General features: G+C 37.8%; 1 protein-coding gene across 18 annotated transcripts in view; it reads right to left on the reverse strand.

The window, feature by feature from the left end:
* The window catches only part of FAM13A (family with sequence similarity 13 member A), a 331226-nt gene that overhangs the window by 166795 nt on the left and 141804 nt on the right, over positions 1-22627 (reverse strand). For 13 of the 18 annotated variants that reach the window (XM_047449479.1, XM_011531516.2, XM_017007624.3 and 10 more), the window contains one exon: positions 13625-13708. The exons of the other annotated variants lie outside the window; for them this stretch is intronic. In XM_047449479.1, coding sequence (XP_047305435.1) covers positions 13625-13708 — 84 coding nt within the window. The remainder of the gene's footprint in view (positions 1-13624; positions 13709-22627) is intronic. 18 annotated transcript variants of the gene reach the window in all.

The raw sequence follows: 22627 nt of genomic DNA on the forward strand, positions 1-22627 counted from the left end.
CAGTAGGACAAAACCAAAAGAAAGAAAAAAAGAAAACAAGTCAAATGATAAAAGGCTTGAAAAAGAATAAACAATGCTCATTATTTTTTGCTGATATTACATTATTTTTAGTTGATACAATATTGATTTATTTGATCATATTAAAAAAATCTTTTATACATTAAAAGGTACTATATTCAATATGAAAAGAAAACCAAAAAACTGAGAAAAGGTACTTTGAATACATACAACTGATAACAGCTAACAAACAAACTCTTACAAATCATTAAAAAAGTGATAATCCAATAGTAAAACTATCAGTGATAGAAGAAAGCAGCACACAAATTAATCATCACAGATATGATCAAAGCTTAATAAACATATGACAACATAAACATATGAAAAACTGCCCATTTGTATTAATCAGGATAGACTTGATTATGATGAGTTTACAAATTAAACCCCAAATCTCAGTAGCTTCACAAAACAGAGGTTTATTTTTTGGTCATGACACAGATCCAAAACAGGTTGACAGGGGGCTCTGCTCCACAAAGAAACGAAAAGGTCCATGCTCCACTGTGCAGCTGCCGTACAATAAGAAACAGTTCAGGCTGGGTGCAGTGGCTCACGCCTTTAATCCCAGCACTTTGGGAGGCCAAGGCGGGCGGATCACGAGGTCATGAGATTGAGACCATCTTGGCTAACACGGTGAAACCCCGTCTTACTAAAAATACAAAAAATTAGCTGGGCGTGGTGGCGGGCGCCTGTAGTCCCAGCTACTCAGGAGGTTGAGACAGGAGAATGGCGTGAACCCAGGAGGCGGAGCTTGCAGTGAGCCGAGATTGTGCCACTGCACTCCAGCCTGGGCGACAGAGCCAGACTCTGTCTCAATGAATGAATGAATGAATGAATAAATAAATAAATAAATAAATAAATAAGCCGGGCGTGGTGGCGGGCGCCTGTAGTCCCACCTACAGCTAGCTACTCGGGAGGGTGAGGCAGGAGAATGGCGTGAACCCGGGAGGCGGAGCTGCAGTGAGCCGAGATCGCGCCACTGCACTCCAGCCAGGCTGATGGAGCGAGACTCCGTCTCAAAAAAAAAAAAAAAAAGAAACAGTTCAAGAGTTACGCACAAGCTTTTGGATTCTCTCCTGAAGTAACACTATATTGACCCAAAGTAGTTGACTGGCCCGACCTAACTGCAAAGGGGCTGGGAAACACATGGATATTCAGTGTCTCTGGCACAACTAGAAATTAGTGCAATCCAAATTAAGGCAATAGCAAGATGCATCTTATAACCATTAGGTTGAGAAAAAGCAGTAACAACAAAAACTCCTATTACCAAGGACTGGTGAGGATGTGAAAAATGGAAGCAGTCATATACAGATGTTAGCATGTAAATTGATGCAACATCCTAAGAGCATTTGAAATGTCCTGACAAGTTAAAGATGCACATGCTTACGATCTAATATTTCCATGTGCATAGAATGAGTCACATGAAAATTATTCACTTAAAAATATTTGTAATAGCAAACTATTGGAAGTGACTTAAATATTGGAGACAATCTAAGTATTGGGGAAAAATTAGAATAACAACCATATTCTTACTGAAAGTTAATATTGACAGCATATTGAACAGAAAAAAAATGAAGCCACAGAAGGCAACACACTATGTACTATTTTTATATAATGTTTTAAAACATGCAAAGACTATAGCATATATTATGTATAAGTATATATATAGATATGCAGTGTTCCTATAATAACATGCATGGAAATGATAAGTATTAATTTTATTTTTATTTTTTGATACAGAGTCTCACTCTGTCACTCAGGCTGGAGTGCAGTGGCAATCTTGGCTCACTGCAACCTCAGCCTCCCAGGTTCAAGCAATTCTTGTGCCTCAACCTCCTGAGTAGCTGAGATTACAGGCATGCGCCACCATGGCCGGCTAATTTTTGTATTTTGAGTAGAGACAGGGTTTTGCCAAGTTGGCCAGGCTGGTCTAGAACTCCTGGCCTCACGTGATCCACCCACCTCAGCCTCCTATAGTGCTGGAATTACAGGCATGAGCCACCACACATGGCCTAATTTAATTTTTCAATAGTGTTAATTTGAGAGAGGAAAGATGGTACATTAGGATACATCAGTCATATCCTTTAATTCTAAAGCTACTTATATCCTTTAATTCTACCATAGGTAATAAAATCTAAGAAAATAATACTATTCCATATTCAAAAGTTATTCTTTATTAACACTTATATAGTTGTGCTTTTTATACTAATGATAAATTAGAAAGTCTCAAATATTCAAAATGGCTAAATATGATATGACAACACATGAAATACTATGATTATTAGATGAGATAATATACATTAGTTAGTACAATGCTTGGCACTTGACTGATGTTAGTTATCATCATCACCACTATTATTTCTATTACTACTAATACTATTACTTTTACTAAAACAATAAGCATATAAACTAGGTTGATGCATGGAAACCCATAACATAAATAATGTTAACTGGAAAAAGCAGAATACTAATTATAATATATATGTTAATGAAAGAAACATAAAATGTATGCATGCCCATCAACACTGATTTTAAAATAACTTGGAAACTTGGTAAAATTCATGTCTAAAACACCAAAAGCAATGGCAACAAAAGACAAAATTGACAAATGGGATCTAATTAAACTAAAGAGCTTCTGTACAGCAAAAGAAACTACCATCAGAGTGAACAGGCAACCTACAAAATGGGAGAAAATTTTTGCAACCTACTCATCTGACAAAGGGCTAATATCCAGAATCTATAATGAACTCAAACAAATTTACAAGAAAAAAACAAACAACCCCATCAAAAAGTGGGCAAAGGACATGAACAGACACTTCTCAAAAGAAGACATTTATGCAGCCAAAAAACACATGAAAAAATGCTCATCATCACTGGCCATCAGAGAAATGCAAATCAAAACCACAATGAGATACCATCTCACACCAGTTAGAATGGCAATCATTAAAAAGTCAGGAAACAACAGGTGCTGGAGAGGATGTGGAGAAATAGGAACACTTTTACACTGTTGGTGGGACTGTAAACTAGTTCAACCATTGTGGAAGTCAGTGTGGCGATTCCTCAGGGATCTAGAACTAGAAATACCATTTGACCCAGCCATCGCATTACTGGGTATATACCCAAAGGACTATAAATCATGCTGCTATAAAGACACATGCACACGTATGTTTATTGTGGCACTATTCACAATAGCAAAGACTTGGAACCAACCCAAATGTCCAACAATGATAGACTGGATTAAGAAAATGTGGCACATATACACCATGGAATACTATGCAGCCATAAAAAATGATTAGTTCATGTCCTTTGTAGGGACATGGATGAAATTGGAAATCATCATTCTCAGTAAACTATAGCAAGAACAAAAAACCAAACACCGCATATTCTCACTCATAGGTGGGAATTGAACAATGAGATCACATGGACACAGGAAGGGGAACATCACACTCTGGGGACTGTTGTGGGGTTGGGGGAGGGGGGAGGGATACCATTGGGAGATACACCTAATGCTAGATGACGAGTTAGTGGGTGCAGCACACCAGCGTGGCACACGTATACATATGTAACTAACCTGCACAATGTGCACATGTACCCTAAAACTTAAAGTATAATAATAAAAGAAAAAAAAATTCAATGTTTATTAAGTTATTTTAGGAACTGTATATTAAAAAAATTATATGGTCACTAACTTTTCTCAAAACCTTCCATTATTTTAAGTATCTGGTTTACTTTGCACAGGCATTTTTAAAAACATTAAAGAAAAAATAACTGTGACATGTCATCTCATTATTGAATAAAATCTCTTCTTAAATGATTCATAGTTCCTGAAAACATTAAGCTTTGAAAAGAAAAACAAGTTAACAATTGCTTCTACTCCATAACTGTTTGCTTGACAACTATACTTCTTTATCCCGCATCTTATAGTTAATATGACTCTGTTTAATAAAAGAAACATCTATGAAAGCATTAGGAGAATCCAATAACCGAAACTATCGTGTGCTTATAATTTTAATTTTTATCAGTACATTTTGTATCCCCTGATAAAAGTCAAAACGGAAATAGATCATTGTTTATTTTATACCTTCATACTAGCACTGAATAAATCTGATATTTATCCTCATACAATGACCTACCTTGAGTTTTTTGGTAAGGTTAAGAATGCAGCAACTATCATGTGAAGTCTAGAGCATACCCCAAGGGAAAAGAGAAGGAAGATCGTTTTCTTCCCTCAGTTCATTGGATCCTCTTCAGGGTTTATATATTGAGCAAAGTAAATGGGTTGTGAGGCTTAGAGCCATAGCACCTGTGTCTGGTAGAAGAAAATTTTGTCTTCTCTCCTAACAACTATACTACGTTACAAGGACCTATGTTGTTCTACATTCTATACCTCTTTATCTAAAAATCTGTTTGATGTTCTCTTCTGTGTCATCCACTCCAATTATTTGTTGGCATATACAGTCTATGCAGTATTGGTCATGGAATAGCTACACGAGTAAGTCCTTGAGCTAGCAGGGCTGGGAATCATTACTCATCCAGAAGTGCCATGGCACTGTGTAATAGATGTATCATCTTTTTCATCCTGGACTCAAATTAAGATGTGGCTTTCCTACCTAAGGAAAAGAAATATAACACTTTTCATTGCTCAAGAGCAGAGACACCAGCTGGCAGAGGGAACACACGTACAGACAGATGGCTTAGATGACAGAGACATCTCCAGAGCTAATGGACATAAGCCATTTCTGGATTACCATTTTACATCTCTAGCCCATATAGGGATCAGAAATACTTAACTGTCCAAGGCAAATACGGCTGTAACTAAAGATGTCTGAGAAAGACAGCAATGGAGGCCAAATGGAGTACCATTAATACCAAGGATAGGCATCACCCTCACAGCTCACTAAGTCACCCTAGAAAGGACACACTAACCATATTTTGAAGGTGTTCTCAGTTTTAGCTTTCAAAGATCAACTGGAGAAAAGAAGATTTTAAGATAAAATCTTGGTGACAGAGTTAGTACCTTAATAATCTCTTATAGTTCACAAGCTCTGCCTCATTTCTGACATTTGACATTACAAAGATAATCACCCCAAACTAAGTGGAGTTTAGTTTGCTCATGTAAACTTACACTCATCCATGTAAGGCCACAAAGAAGCTAGTCACAAACCAAGACTTAACCAATGAAGTAATTTCTCTATGGAATTAGTTGGTCATAAACCATCCAGCCAGATAGATGAAAGGGAGGATAATAAGTATGCATTAATTATGATTCTTTACATAAATAACATGTTAGAAATGGGACTAATTTCATGAGAGTAATAGAATCACTTCAAAACATTTTTATGAGCAGTTTCAAGAGCATATTTCGTTTAGGAAATGATTCATTTAAGGTCTCATCACCTCAAAGTAGTCGATACATATACAGTTAATAAGCAAATGTTACCTAAAAATGTTCCTCAAATCCCATGTTTTTTTCCCAAAATGCATTTGTTTAGTGAGTATATTTTTGACATTGAATGTTTACTAATTGTACAGTAAACCAAATTTCTACTATACATTTGAATTTATCATCTGTAAGTTTGGACATGCAAATATTTCAGTAAAAAAGACACAAAAAATTGTTTGAGTCAAGAAGGGAAACCATAATAGATAGTTGAAATAATTTTCCAGAAAAAAATCAAAGCATAAGTTTTATAAGGAAAGATTTTTTATTTCTTTAAAAATAAACCATATACTCTTGCCATAAATTAAACAATAAATAATAGCTCAATGCTGCTCTTGAATTGTCTTTGAAAATAAAACTATAATTTTTTTTAGTAACTTCCTATTAAAATCAGAAAACAGAGTTTTAAAAAATTTTGCCTGCAGTGAATTCAAAAAAGTTGGGAGAATATATTGTCTTAGAACTGGAAAAAAAGTAGCTTTATAAATGTCATGGTGGCTAATAATAAAAAAAATAAAAAAATAGATGTTGGCATGGATGTGGTAAAAAGGGAACACTTCTACACCACTGGTGGGAACGTAAACTAGTACAACCACTATGGAAAACAGTGTGGTGATTCCTTAAAGAAGTAAAAGCAGAACTACCATTTGATCCAGTAATCCCACTACTAGGTATCTACCCAAAGGAAAATAAGTCATTATACAAAAAAGATACTTTCACAGGCATGTTTGTAGTGGCACAATTCACAATTGCAAAAATATGGAACCAGCCCAAAGCCCATCAATCAATGAGTGAGTAAAGAAACTGTGGTGTGTGTGTGTGTCTGTGTGTATGTGTGTGTATGTATATATACACACACACATACATATATATATATACATACATACGTATATATATGATGAAATACTATTCAGCCATAAAAAAGAATGGATTAATGGCATTTGCAGCAACGTGGATGAGACTGGAGACTATTATTCTAAGTGAAGTAACTCAGTAATGGAAAACCAAACATTATTCTCACTCATAAGTGGGAGCTAAGCTCTGAGGATGCAAAGGGATAAGAATGATACAATGGACTTTGGGGGAAAGGGTGGGAAGGAGTTGAGGGATAAAAAGCTACAAATTGGGTGCAGTGTATACTGCTTGGGTGATAAGTGAACCAAAATCTCACAAATCACCACTAAAGAACTTACTCATGTAGCCCAATACCACCTGTTCCCTAAAAACTTATGGAAAGAAAATAAGTAAGTAAGTAAATAAATAAATAAATGTCATGGTGGCTAGTTAGGAGTATTATATATACTTAGTAAGTAGGCATTCTATTCAAATGAAAAGATTAAAGATTAGAAAAGTGACAGGCTATAAAACTAATACAATTACTTTTCTGGGTAGACAAACAAATGATCAAATTCTCATGAAACATTCTGGATTAAAGAAGTTTTTCTATACTGAAAACTCAAAAAGCTAGAGTGTCTCTTCTCCAAATGACTGCAACACCTCTCCAGCAAAGGCACAGAACTGGGTGGAGGCTGAGATGGCTGAATTGACAGAATTAGGCTTCAGAAGATGGGTAATAAAGAACTTCACTGAGCTAAAGGAGCATGTTGTAACCCACTGCAAAGAAGCTAAGAATCATAATAAAACAATATAGGAGCTGATAGCCAGAACAGCCAGTTTAGAGAGGAACATAACTGACCTGATGGAAGTGAATAACACAATATAAGAAATTCACAATGCAATCACAAGTATCAATGCAGAATAGACCAAGTGGAGGAAAGAATATCAGAGCTTGAAGACTCCCTTTCTGAAATAAGACAGGCAGACAAGAATACAGAAAAAAGAATGAAAATGAATAAACAAAACCTCTGAGATGCATGGGATTATGTAAAGATGTCAAACCTAAAACTGACTAGGGTACCTGAAAGAGATGAGGAAAATGGAACCAAGTTGGAAAACATACTTCATATGCTGAAAAACATATATCATCCAGGAGAACTTCCCCAACTTAACAAGACAGCCCAACATTCAAATTCGGGAAATCCAGAGAACCTCAGTAAGATACTCCATGAGAAGATCAATGCCAAGACACATAATCATCAGATCCTCCAAGGGCAAAATGAAAGAAAAAATGTTAAGGGCAGCCAAGGAGAAAGGCCAGGTCACCTACAAAGGGAAGCCTATCAGACTAACCATGGACCTCTCAGTGGAAACTCTACAAGCCAGAAGAGATTAGGTACCAATATTCAACATTCTTAAAAAAAAGAATTTCCAATCCAGAATTTCATATCTGACCAAATTAAGCTTCATAAGGAAAGGAGAAATAAGATCCTTTGCAGACAAGCAAATTCCAAGGGAATTTGTCACCACCAGGCCTGCCTTGCAAGAGGTCCTGAAGGAAGCACTAAACATGGAAAAGAAAAACCGTTACCAGCCAATACAAAACCACACTGAAGTACACAGGTTAGTGATACTATAAAGCAACCACGTAAACAAGTCTGTAAAATAAGCAGCTGGCATCACAATGATAGGATCAAATTCACACATAACAATGCTAACTTTAAATGTAAATGGGCTAAATGCCCCAATTAAATGACACAGAATGGCAAGCTGGATAGAGTCAAGACCCATCAGTATGCTGTCTTCAAAAGACCTATCTCCTGTGCAAAGACACACATAGGGTCAAAATAAAGGGATGGAGGAAAATTTCCAAGCAAATGGAAAACAGAAAAAGCAGAGGTTGTAATCCTAGTTTCTGACAAAACAGGCCTTAAACCAACAACAATAAAAAAAGACAAAGAAGAGCTTTACATAATGGAAAATGGTTCAAGTCAACAAGAATAGCTAACTATCCTAAATATATATGCACCCAATACAGGAGCACCCAGATTCATAAAGCAAGTTCTTAGAGACCTATAAAGAGACTTAGACTCCCTCACAATAATAGTAGGAGCTTTAACACTCCACTGAAAATATTAGACAGATCATCGAGACAGAAAATTAACAAAGATAGTCAAGACCTGAACTCAGTTCTGGATCAAGCAGACCTGATAGATACCTACAGAACTCTCCACCCACAAACAACTGAATATATATTCTTCTCATCACCACACAGCACTTTCTTTAATATTGATCACATAATCGGAAGTAAAACACTCCTCAACAAATGCAGAAGAAATGAAATCATAACAGTCTTTCAGACCACAGTGCAATCAAATTAGAACTCAAGATTAAGAAATTCACTCAAAACCACACAACTACATGGAAATTGAACAACCTGCTCCTGAATGACACTTGGGTAAATAATGAAATTAAGGCAGAAATCATTAAGTTCTTTGAAACTATGAGAAGAAAGAAACAATGTACCAGAATCTCTGGGACTCAGCTAAAGCAGTGGTAAGAGGGAAATTTATAGCACTAAATGCCTAACATCACAACTAAAAGAACTAGAGAACCAAGAGCAAACAAACCCCAAAGCGAGCAGAAGACAAGAAATAACCAGTATCAGAGTGGAACTGAAGGAGGTAGAGACATGAAAAACCCTTCAAAAAAAATCAACAAATCTAGGAGCTGCTTTTTTGAAAAAATTAGTTAGACCACTAGCTAGACTAATAAAGAATAAAAGAAAGAAGAATCAAATAATCAGAAATAATAAGGGGGATATTACCACTGACCCCACAGAAATACAAACAACCAGAGAATACTATATAACAACAGAGAATACTATAAACACCACTATGCACATAAACTAGAAAATCTAGAAGAAATGTTTAAATTCCTGGACACATACACCCTCCCAAGACTGAAACAGGATGAAACTGAGTCTCTGAATAGACCAATAATGAGTTCTGAAATTGAGGAAGTAAGAAAATAGCCTACAACCAAAAAGAGCCCAGGACCAGAAAGATTTGCAGCTGAATTCTACCAGAGGTACAAAGAAGAGGTGGTACCATTTCTATTGAAACTATTCCAAAAAATTGAAAAGGAGGGACTCCTCCCTAACTCATTGTATGAGGCCAGCATCATCCTGATACCAAAACCTGGCAGAGATACAACAAAAAAAGAAAACTTCAGGCCAATATCCCTGATGAACATTGATGCAAAAGTTGTCAATAAAACACTGGCAAACCAAATCCAGCAACACATCAAAAAGCATATGCACCATGATCAAGTCAGCTTCATCCCTGGGATGCAAGGTTGGTTCAACATGCACAAATCAGTAAATGTGATTCATCACATAAACAGTACTAAAGAAAAAAAAAACACTTGATTATCTCAATAGATGCAGAAGGGGCCTTTGATAAAATTCAACATACTTCATGTTAAAAACTTTGAATAAACTAGGTATTGAAGGAATGTACCTCAAAATAATAAGAGCCATATATGACAAACCCACAGCCAGTATCATACTGAATGAGCAAAAGCTGGAAGCATTCCCGTTGAAAGCTGACACAAGACAAGGATGCCCTCTCTCACCACTCCCATTCAACATAATATCAGAAGTTCTGGTCAGGGCAATCTGGCAAGAGAAAGAAATAAACCGTATTCAAATAGCAAGAGAGAAAGTCAAACTATCCCTGTTTTCATATGACATGATCCTATATCCAGAAAATCCCATTATTTCACCCAAAAAGCTTCTTAAGCTGATAAGCAACTTCAGCAAATCTCAGGATACAAAAGAAATGTGCAAAAAATCATAGCATTCCTATTCACCAACAACAGAGCCAAATAATGAATGAACTCCCATTCACAATTGCTACAAAAAGAATAAAATAAAATTGCTAGAAATACAGCTAACAAGGGAAGTAAAGGACCTCTTCAAGGGGAACTACAAATCACTGCTCAAAGAAATCAGAGAGGACACAAACAAATATAACAACATTCCATGCTCATGGATAGGAAGAATCAGTATTATGAAAATACTCATACTGCTCAAAGTAGTTTATAGATTCAATGCTATTCCCATTAAACTATCATTGATGTTCTTCAGAGAATTAGAAAACAACTATTGTAAAATTCATATGGAACCAAACATACAAGACAAGCCTAAGCAAAAAGAACAAAGCTGGAGGTATCATGCTACCTGACTTCAAACTATAGTACAAGGCTACAGTAACCAAACAGCATGGTACTGGTATAAAAACAACATAGTACTGGTACAAAAACAGACACATGGACCAATGGAATAGAATAGAGAAGTTAGAAATAAGACCGAACACCTACAATTATCTCATCTGTGACAAAACTGACAAAAGCAAACTATGGGAAAATGATTCTCTAATAAATGGTGCTGAGAGAACAGGCTAGCCATATGCCAAAAATTGAAACTGGACCCCTTCCTTACACCTTATACAAAAATTAACTCAAAATGGATTAAAGATTTCTAGGATTTTTAGAGTTTTGGGTTTTACATTTGTTGTAAACACTTCACAAGAAAATCTAGGCAATACCATTCAGGACATAAGCATGGGCAAAGATTTCAGGACGAAAACACCAAAAGCAATTGCAACATAAGCAAAAATTGACAAACGGGATCTAGTTAAACTAAAGAGCTTTTGCACAGCAAAAGAAACTGTCACCATAGTGAACACACAACCTGCAGAACGGGAGAAAATGTTTGTAACTTATCCATCTGACAAAGGTCTAACATCAAGTCTACAAGGAACTTAAACACATTTATAAGAAAAAAAATCCTATTAAAAAGTGGGTAAAGGACATGAACAGGCACTTCTCAAAAGAAGACATTTATGTGGCCAACAATCAGGAAAATAAGCTCAACATCACTGATCATTAGATACATGGAAATCAAAACCACAATGAGATACCATCTCATGCCAGTCAGAATGGCTATTATTAAAAAGTCAAGAAAGAACAGATGCTGATGAGGTTGCAGAGAAAAAGAAATGCTTTTACAGTGTTGGTGGAAGTGTAAATTAGTTCAACCATTGTGGCAGAGAATATGGTGATTCTGCAAAGATCTAGAACCAGAAATACCATATGACCCAGCAATCCCATTACTGGGTATATGTCCAAAAGAATATAAATCATTCTATTATAACAATACATGCACATGTATGTTCACTGCAGTACTACTTACAATAGCAAAGACATGGAATCAACCCTAATGCCCATCAATCATAGACTGGATAAAGAAAATGTGGTACACATACACCATGGAATACTATGCAGCCATAAAGAGGAATGAGATCATGTCCTTTCTAGGACATGGATGGAGCTGGAAACCGTTATTCTCAGCAAACTAACACAGGAATAGAAAACCAAACATTGCATGTTCTCACTTATAAATGGGAGCTGAATCATGAGACCACATGGACACCGGGAGGGGAATAACACACACTGGGACCCGTCAGTGGGGTGGCTTAGGGTGAGGGAATAAGCAAGGATACCTAATGGATGCTGGGTTTAATACCTAGGTGATGGTAGGAGATCTGTGCAGCAAACCACCATGGCACACCTTTACCTATGTAACAACTCTGTACATCCTGCACCTGTACCTCTGAACCTAAAATCAAAGTTGAAGAGAAAAAAGAAATTTTTCTTTTCACTGGCAAAACAATTATCAGCATTTTGGATTTTTTCTTACTAAGGGAAACAAAATTTTACACATTAACGCCTTTATGCTATCATATCTATAATAGTTTTTATTTTTTCTTATTAAAATTTATGTAAATACTTTCCATTGATTATGTGTTCCTCATAATTATGAAACATCATACAGTGATTTTTATTTAAAAAAATTACAGCTGAACATTTTACTTTACGCCCAGAAGGGAAAATGCATCTCATGCATTTCTATTATGCTTAGAGGTACCCTAGGAAGATCTACTGCACTTGACTATTTCCTATGTCAGAGGCTAGAAAAAATTATATGTAAGTATGTATGTGTGTATATATGTATGTATGTATGAACGAGATGGAGTCTCATTCTTGTCGCAGCTCGCTGCGACCTCTGCTTCTGAGGTTCAAGCAATTCTTTCTGCCTCAGCCTCCCAGTTAGCTGGGATTACAGGAGCCCGCCACCCAATCCTGGCTAATTTTTTTTGTATTTTTAGTACAGATGGGGTTTCAACATGTTGGCCAGACTGGTCCTTTTTCTTTCTTAATAGTGAACTTTTTGGCATTTTACTTTTTATATATTTCTTTTCAAAATTTTTTATTTTACGTTTGGGGGTACATGTGAAGGTTACATAGGTAAACATGTGTCACAAGGGTTTGTTGTACATATTATCACATCCCAGGTATTAAGCCCAGTACCCGATACTTATCTTTTCTGTTTCTCTTCCTCCTCCCACCCTCCACCCTCGAGGAGGTCCCAGTGTCTGTTGTTTCCTTCTTTGTGTTCATAAGTTCTTGTCATTTAGCTCCTATTTATAAGTGAGAACATGTGGTATTTGGTTTTCTATTCCTGCGTTAGTTTACCAAGCATGATAGCCTCCAGCTCCATCCATGTTCCTGCAAAAGGCATGGTCTCATAGCCACAATTGTTATTGAGCAGAAGTAAAACCATCTACTAAAAATTATCACTATCTCTTCAATAATAGGAGTGTCTGAAGAATTTTTGGCTGAATACAACCATGGATTAAAGGTACTGTATAAAAAGTGCTTTTATACCACCAGATCCTCCCGCAACACTCCCTCATGCCTACTTCCCTGAAAAAACAAACAAATAAAAAACCAAAAGGGCTGAAGGAAATGCAATCAACAGAACATGGAAATAGGAGAGCATCAAGAAACATGCTGGCCGGGCATGGTGGCTCACGCCTGTAATCCCAGCACTTTGGGAGGCCAAGGCAGGCAGATCACCTGAGGTCAGGAGTTTGAGACCAGCCTGGCCAACATGGCAAAACCCCGTCTCTACTAAAAATACAAAAATTAGCTGGGCATGGTGGTGCGCACCTTTAGTCCGAGCTACCCCAGAGGCTGATGCAGGAGAACTGCCTGAACCCAGGAGGCAGAGGTTGCAGTGAGCTGAGATTGCGCCACTGCACTCCAGCCTGGACGATAAAGCAAGACTCTGTCTCAAAACAAACAAACAAACAAACAAAAACAACAAAAAACAAAGAACCATGCTAAAGATTTCACATGGTCGCCTACAGAGAAAACATAGTTTACCTTGGTTTTTGGAGGTGGTTTTGGCATGTCTCTTTCTAAGCCTCTTGTTAAAAGGATGGGCAGGGAGTTCTTATAATAGACCTCCTACAAAAGAAGTATAAAGGAAACATTAGAGATTAAAGAACACTTACCCTAACCAAAAATTACAAGGTAGTGAAAAACAGTTTTGAAGAGAGAGCATTTCTGGATTGAGTTGTTCACATCAGAAGCTGGTGAAATTGTAGTACGGAGTCAAAACTTTTCCTCTTACATGTCATATACAACAATAAAGTAAGATAAGATGGTGATGGAGTAGGTGAGAGATGTACAGTACATATATTCAGAGATGATCATTAAAAATCATATCTGCACTGTTATGTCATTTTATCACATACATATCCAGTATAGACAGCTTGCTCTTCTTTTGAGAAGTGAATAGTTAAATCTCCAAAATATCAACCAACAAACTTAAAGTCGCCAACATTCCCTACATTTTACAGATGTATTCTGACTCTTTACATACTTGACCTTAAACAATTTCCTTCAGATAATTTACCAAACCACTATTAAACGGTGATAGTTTTGTATTAACACCTTGTGGAAGAATATATGAGTATCTGTTTCCAGAATTATTAAACCTCCAAGTCCTTGGTTCACACCAAAAGAACATTTGCCAAAATAATGGCAGAAATTACAAGGAGGCAGCTGAGGCATAACTGTATAGATTTATTATTTATTCATACACGATGAACAGAAATGACAGTAATCTTGTTTGTTTTGTTGTTTCAATAATGCAGAGCCTCACTTCCGAATAGCCATTAACTTGGATAAGCTTTCCATAGATGATTCCATCTCCAAATTAAGATAGGAAAATAATACATAAAAGGAAAATTATAGGCAACAAGAAGGCTGAGAAAGTCAGTCAGATTTTTTTCACTTATTCCATAATCCTCCATATCCCATTTCTTCCCCAACATTCCTGCCATTCAATCATCTAAATCATACATTTTTTAAAAGTTTAGTTTATGGCTAATTCGTTACAATCTTTTAAACATAATTTTAGTCTGCATACTTCAGAATATTATTAAAATTTGCTAGACTTATATTCATTTATTTCTAAAGGGAACAATATATTATTAGGATAAAATGTCCCTAAAGAAAGTAACAACACTACTTATTATTAATAAAGATTGAATCTTATGATGTATTGGGCGTTGCTAAAGACTGCATTTATAATGCCGTTTTTACGCCCAATAGCCCTATGAGCTAGGAACTATTATCATCATCTCCCCTTTAAGGCTAACACAATGCAGGCTTACAGAAGTTAAGTAAACTTGCCCAAGGTCACACAGGACTCAAAGATTGTTCTGTAAAACATTAGGGCCTGAGCTCTTAATACCTTTATATATTACTCATCTCCGATATACCATACTTGGCATCTAAAACCACTAAGTTGTGGAGCCATAGCATTTTAAAGCCAAAAGAGTTTTGTAAAGGTCAACTAGTCGGCCTCCCTGATTTTACAGATGAGGGACTTGGATTCTAAGGTGATGTGTCCAAGATCACATAGACAGTGGCAAAGCTGAGACTCATGTCTGGACCACAAAGTAGTACACAGCACATGTTCTCAGGTTTGTGCTAGGGACAAACATTCCCAGATGCATAGGGGATTGGAAGCCTCTTCTAAGCTGGGGAGTAGCTGCAGGTACTGCCAACACTCTCAGCTGCCTGTGGCCTCACATAGCCCTTATGTAAGTACCAAAGGGTACATTTCAGAGATCCCTAAATAAGTGTGCATTCCAGTCTTACCCTTTCCCACTAGTTACAGCACCTGCTGGTGGTAAGCTGCTTTCTGGAAATAGTGAATGAACCCATTCCCGCTTCTGACTCACTGTGAGAGGGATAAACTATATCCAGCATGACATTTAGGAGAGCCAACTGCATAATACATTGCATAATTTGACTATGCTTGGATAACACAATTATGCTTTATGCTTGTACCTGTTTTTTAAAACTACTGGTATGTAAATGCTAGAATATGATGAAAAGAAACAAGGCTGACTGTTAAGGGAAATTAGTAGAAATGTCTGACTGTTGTCTATGACTGTCTGAGTGTTTACAAATGCCTATAATTCTTTCTTCCTTATGCAAAAAACAGAAGTGACAGTATTTCTTTATTCTATTTTCCAGCCCTGTCTCTGTGAATTAATGGGCACAAGGCTGACAGTCAACTTTTTCCTATAAGACTCTGAAAGCATTTTTTCTAAACTTCTATTTGCAAATGTCACCTACATGAATTATATTTACTTTTTGTTTTATGACTTTAAACTTAGACAATACAGACAAAGTAAAGTTTAGCAGTCTGAGAATGAACTGGCAGATAAGAGATCTAGCTCAAGGAAGAAGTAGTATTTATTGATGAAAAGACAAGCCAGCACCCGTTCAGAGTTGCGTTCCCAGTGCCCCATCAGAATGGTACTGAAACAGCAGCTCCCACCCTTGCAGCAAGCAGCGAGCAAGGGGGCTGCAGAGCCACAGGACACAGGTAACACCTTCCTATAAGGCCCATGGTACTTAGATTTCTGGAGAAAAGTTAAATAATTCAACTAGTAACCTAAGCAAATAACTGGTGATAACTTAATGTATTCTTTTAAAATATATATTATGCAGTTAAGTATGAAATAGTAAGATAAAACATTTTCTAAATCTTTATAAAGCCATTTATATTTGTACATATGTATCTGAGAAAGTTGAAAATTTATGTCCACAGCAAAAATATCAACACAAATGCAAATAGTAGAATTATTCATAATAGCCTAAAAGTGGTGACAATCCAAATGCCCATTAATTGATGAATGGATAAACAAGACATGGTATAGTCACATAATAGAATATTCTTCGGCTATAAAAAGGAATAAAGTACTGACACCTGCTACAACATGAATGAACCTTGAAAACATGCTAAGTGAAATAATACAGACACAAAAGGATATATATTGTGTGATTCCACTTATATGAAATGTCCAGAATAGGCAAATACTTAGTGACAGAAAGTAGATTGGTTATTGCCAGGGGTTGGGAGGAGTGGGGAATGTGGAGTGACTGCTAATGGGTCTGATGTACATGAGGTTTTTTATTTTTTTTTTTTGAGATGGAGTCTCGCTCTGTTGCCAGGCTGGAGTGCAGTGGCGTGATCTTGGCTCACTGCAACCTCCGCCTCCCAGGTTCAAGCGATTCTCCTGTCTCAGCCTCTGGAGTAGCTGGGACTACAGGTGTGCACCACCATGCCCAGCTAATTTTTGTATTTTTAGTAGAGATGAGGTTTCTCCATGTTGGCCAGGATGGTCTCTATCTCTTGACCTTGTGATCCGCCCACCCTGGCCTCCCAAAGTGCTGGGATTACAGAAGTGAGCCACCGTACCCAGCTGAGGTTTCTTTTTAGGGTGATAAAAATATTCTGGAATTAGGTAATGGTGATGATTGCACAGTTTTGTGAACACACACAAAGCCATAGATTGTATACTTTATAAGAGTGAATTTCAATGGTATGTGAATTATATCTAAATTTTTTACAAAGCCATGTAAAGAACGTTCCCACATTCTCAAGGTAAGAGACCTCGGGTTTGTGTTCAAACTCTTCCTTTAGAAGAACTTTTTAGAAAAAGTTTGGAGGGGGATGTTGTGTTTCTAAGTGTTAAATTGTATGTAGGCATGAAAATTTATTCAACAAATATCAACTGAATCTTATTACTAGTTGGAATGGGTGTTATTCCAATGCTGGGCACTGGAGAACGAAGTGTCAAACTGGACATTAATAGATCACATACGGCATATTTATACTTATTTTAAACATTTGATCTACTTACATGAGACTTTTGACTGAACCAATTGCTTACTTTAATGACCTTTGCACAACACCTACTTGCTTAAACCAGCTGTGTCATGGTATCATGAGAACACCAGTTAAAAATACAATAAGGAAGGAAAAAAATACCTTATCATGGTTTCTTTTGCCTTACTATTCAACTACTAATGACATTTAAAAATAGGAAAGCACTCACTGTCCCCTCAGCCTTGCACACTACTTCCACAGCTCTTTTAAGGTTTGGTCCCTTGTTTCATTCAGGTCTTTGCTCAATTTCACTGGAGCAGGTTATCTTCCCAGGATGCCACCTGGGAAGGGATATTAATCACTACCTCCCTCCTCTTCCACTTGTTTCTCTCTATCCCCTACCCTATTTTATGTTTCCCCATAGCCCTTAGAAATATCCAACCTTAAACTTACTGGTTTTAATTCTTTTTTTTTTTTTTGAGATGGAGTCTCGCTCTGTCACCAGGTTGGAGTGCAGTGGTGCCATCTCAGCTCACTGCAACTTCTGCCTCCTGGGTTCAAGCGATTCTCCTGCCTCAGCCTCCTGAGTAGCTGGGACTACAGGCACGCGTCACCATGCCCAGCTAATTTCTGTATTTTTAGTAGAGACGGGGTTTCACCACGTTGGCCAGGATGGTCTCAATCTCTTGACCTCGTGATCTGCCCGCCTCAGCCTCCCAAAGTGCTGGGATTACAGGCGTGAGCCACCACGCCCAGCTGCTTTTAATTCTTTATTGTCCATCTCACCCTACTCTGTGAGAGGACTTGGTCAGTCTTCTTCATAAATACATTATATCCACAGAGCCTACAACTAGGTTTGGCACATAGTAGGAGCTCAATTGTTGAGTGACTGAGTAAACTGAATGAATAAAATCCCCTTCCAAGCCCCTTGTGCATTCCTCCTGCTTTTAGTCCCTTCTTAATTCCCTTCTTAAATTCCCTTTATGATCCTTCGTTCTCTTGCTAATACCCTTAATTTCTTTCCTCCAGTCTCCAATCATTGCATTCACCTCACAAAAGTACAATGTTGGATGAATCCAGCTATATGCTTTCTCTGTGCTGAGAACGGAGCAGCTCAAAGTGGCTGGAAAAAGTTACAGAATTGGTTGATTGGTTTCACATTAAATTTATGACCAAAAACTTTGGATGGGCCCTCCCTCATGTACAGCAATTCTGCTATACTTCTTGCGTAACTTGATTTTCCACTTTCCAAGATGATATTTCTTGTCTTTCCCTCTCTTCTCAAACCCCTTTCTTTCCATTCTTGCTTAATACCTCTTTGGAAAAACAGAAACATCGGAGCAGAAGCTAGTCATTGCCACACCATCAAATCTACAAACCTAGCTGAAATCATTCAATCCTCTCTGCCTTCCCTGTTGTTGCAATGAGAGATAAGACTGGTTGTATCAAAGAGCAATTCCCTCCATATGCACAGTGGATCTCATCTCCTTTCATCTCCCCAAAGGCTGCTCCTTCAACGGTCTCCTGTCACTCCCTTCCCCACTGTGACCATTCCCATCAATCACAAGCATGCTCTGCAGTCATATCTTCTCATTTTTGTTTGTTTATTTTTAAAAGATACTTCCTTAATCCTACATCTCCCATTAGCTATGGTCCTACTTGCTTCCCTTCATAGCAAATTCCTTTAAAACAGCCATCTTCACTCACTTTCTCTACTTCCTCACCTCCAATTCATTCTTCAATGCCCTAAGATGTGGTCTTTGTCTCACTATTTCACAGAATCTGCCAAAACAGTCACAGCTCAGCCTCCGTCTTACTCTTGTTCTTAGTAACATTTAAAGAAGGTAACTATTCTTGAATTACTGTCTTCTCTTAGCTTCCATGACATCACTGGTAGGTGGCTTTTGATGGTTAAATTTAGGTGTCAACTTGACTAAATGAAGAGATGTCCAAAGAGTTGGCAAAACATTATTTCTGGGTATGTCTGTGAGGGTGTTCTGGAAGAGGCTGGTATTTGAATCAATGGGCTGAGTAAGGAAGATCCACTCTCACCAAATGTTGCAGGCACCATCCAATTGGCTGAGGACATATAGAGAACAAAAAGGCAGAGGAAAGGTGAATTTGATGTCTCTCCTAGAGCTGGGGCACCCATCTTCCCCTGCTCTTGGACATTAAAACTCCAGGTTCTGCAGCCTTTGGACTTTGGACTTGCACCATCAGCTTCCCAGCCACTCAAGACTTCGGATTTAGACTGAGCCATGCTACCAGCTTCCCTGATTCACCAGAGCTTGCAAACAGCATATTATAGAGCTCTTCAGCCTCCAAAATCATGTGAGCCAAACCCCATAATAAATCACCTCTCTCTTTACACACATACATACACACACACACACACACACACACACACACACACACCTCCTATTGGTTTTCTCTGGAAAACCTTGAACATATACAGGAGGAAAACATTTTCCTACTCACCCAGACCAACTCCATACAGTTGGCTGCTGCTCCTCCTCTATACAACAAAGTTACAGTTACATATCTATTGGTTATTGGTTTATTTTCTGAATCCTCTACTAAAGAGAAGTCTAAGCCTGGGCAACCTAGTGAGACTCTGTCTCTACAAAAACAACAAAATAAAATTAGGCAGGCATGGTGGCACATTCCTGTGGTCCTAGATACTCAGGAGGCTGAGGCAGGAGGACCTATTGAGCCCAAGAGGTCCAGCCTGCAGTGAGCTGTGATCACACCACTGCACTCCAGCCAGGGTGACAGAGCAAGACAGAAGAAAGAAGAAAGAAGAAGAAAGAAGGAAGAAGAGGAGGAGGAGGAGGAAGAAGAAGAAGAAGAAGTAGTAGAAGTAGTAGTAGAGAGAAGGAACAAGAGGAGGAGGAAGAAGAAGAAGAGGAGGAGGAGGAAGAGGAAGAGGAAGAAGAACAGGAGGAAGAGGAAGAGGAAGAAGAGGAGGAGGAGGAAGAAGAAGAGGAAGAAGTGGAGGAGGAAGAGGAAGAGGAAGAAGAACAGGAGGAAGAGGAAGAGGAAGAAGAGGAGGAGGAGGAAGAAGAAGAGGAAGAAGTGGAGGAGGAAGAGGAAGAGGAAGAAGAACAGGAGGAAGAGGAAGAGGAAGAAGAGGAGGAGGAAGAAGAAGAAGAGGAAGAAGAGGAGGAAGAAGAGAAGAGGAAGAAGAGGAGGAGGAGGAGGAAGACAAAGAAGAAGAAGTAGTAGAAGTAGTAGTAGAGGGAAGAGGGAAGAAGAGGAGGAGGAAGAAGAAGAAGAGGAGGAGGAGGAAGAGGAAGAAGAAGAGGAGGAAGAGGAAGAGGAAGAAGAGGAGGAGGAGGAAGAAGAGGAAGAAGAGGAGGAAGAGGAGGAGGAGGAAGAAGAAGAAAAAAGAAGAAGAAGGCGGCAAATAATACATGTCTCCTTTTACTACTGTGATCACAATTCCATAGAGAATTGCCTGGTATAGCAGGAACTCAATAAATGTGTGTTGAATAAATGAATGAAGGAAGTCGGAGTGACTCAAGAGTTGATACAGAGAAGCCTTCTTTTCCCAAATGATATGAAATCATTCACCTTCATGGCTTTTAAATACTACCAATATATAATGTTGCCCAAATTTGTGTCTCTGTCTCTGATGTTTCTCCTGAGCTCATATTACTTACATCTAATTGCCTAATTGGCAACTCTACACTTAGTATGTTCAAACTTGAGCTTATAAATTATCAGCAAAAAAATTCTGTCAGTCTGAGGTTGCAGTGAGCCAAGATCATGCCATTGCACTCCAGCCTGGATGACAGGGTGAGACTCCGTCTCAAAAAAAAAAGAAAAAAAAAAAACTGTCAGTCTTTGAGTCTTCCTTAAATTAGCAAATGTCACCTAGTTGCTCAGGACAATGTCTTAGGAATCTACCCTGATTCCTCCCTTTCCCATACCTCTTGCATTCAACCCGCCAAGTGCAGTCAGTACTATCTCCAAAATAAACTGAAATCGGTCTACTCTTCCCTATGTGCACAGTCACCCCAATCATAACCATCATTGTTCACCTAAATTATTTCAAACATCTTGCCTTCTACAAGCTTTGTACATGTAAATCAGACAATGTCACTTCTCTACCCTAAATCTTCCAATGATATATCATTATTCCAACAATAAAATCCAAATTCCTTACCATGACCTACACAGTCCCAATGATCTAGCTCTTGCCTATGTCTCTAATCTCATAGCATTTCCCCTCTCCTCGTTATGCCCCAGCCACCATGGCCTTCTTTTCTGTTCTTCAAATACCCCAAGTCCCTTCCTGCCTTCCAGCATTTGCCCTTCTTATTCCTTCTCCCTGGAATGATTTTCCACACTGCTCTAGCATAGCTGTGCATTCATTCTTATCTTTCAGCTCCCATGTCACTTCCTCAGAGAGGCCATCTTTAACAACCTTATCTAAAGTGGCTCCTCTAACTATGCTCTTTTCTTCTTAACAGGCTTCATCTTCAACCACAGTACTTACTTTAATTTGTTATTGATTATCTACCACTCCAAGAAGTCTTTAAGGCTCATGAGAGGTAAACATATTTGATCAGTGTATTCTAGTATTCAGTGTATAGTTAATAAGTATTTTTTGAATGAACGAATAAAACTGTCAACTTCACATTTCCCTTCCTTTTAGCATTAATTTCCAACCATTAGAGAATTTTGGTGGACTCTGTGATATTGGGAACAAGATAATAACACATTTTCCTATTTCTGATGGATGAGGATACACATAAAAGAAGCTACATTATGACAGGGAGGAACTGCATTTGGTGTGCTGGGGTCAAACTCACAACAGTTGATTTGGTCAGATTTGGTGATCTGGAGAGCAGAAGACAGAGAGCAATACTGATATGATTACAAATTGAAGTAGCAAAGGCCCATGGCTGAGGCATCTTATAGGAAAGCGCATGTAGAACAGTGCTACTTTGCACATAACCAGGGTCCAATACATATGACTGGCAGATTACAGATCACTCTTTACAACCCCATAGAAGTCTCTTCTGCAATTCATCTATATCTCAAAATGAATCTCAATTTGATTGACAGAAAAAAGTAGATTTTCTTAAAACTCGAAAGAAATATAATGTTATCTTTACATTAATGAAAGGAATAAATTGAATTTTAAAATAGCACTTTCTAGATCTTCACTATATATTTTTGGAAAA

The sequence above is a fragment of the Homo sapiens genome, chromosome 4 (assembly GCF_000001405.40).
Source record: "Homo sapiens chromosome 4, GRCh38.p14 Primary Assembly".
NCBI classification, from domain to species: domain Eukaryota; kingdom Metazoa; phylum Chordata; class Mammalia; order Primates; family Hominidae; genus Homo; species Homo sapiens.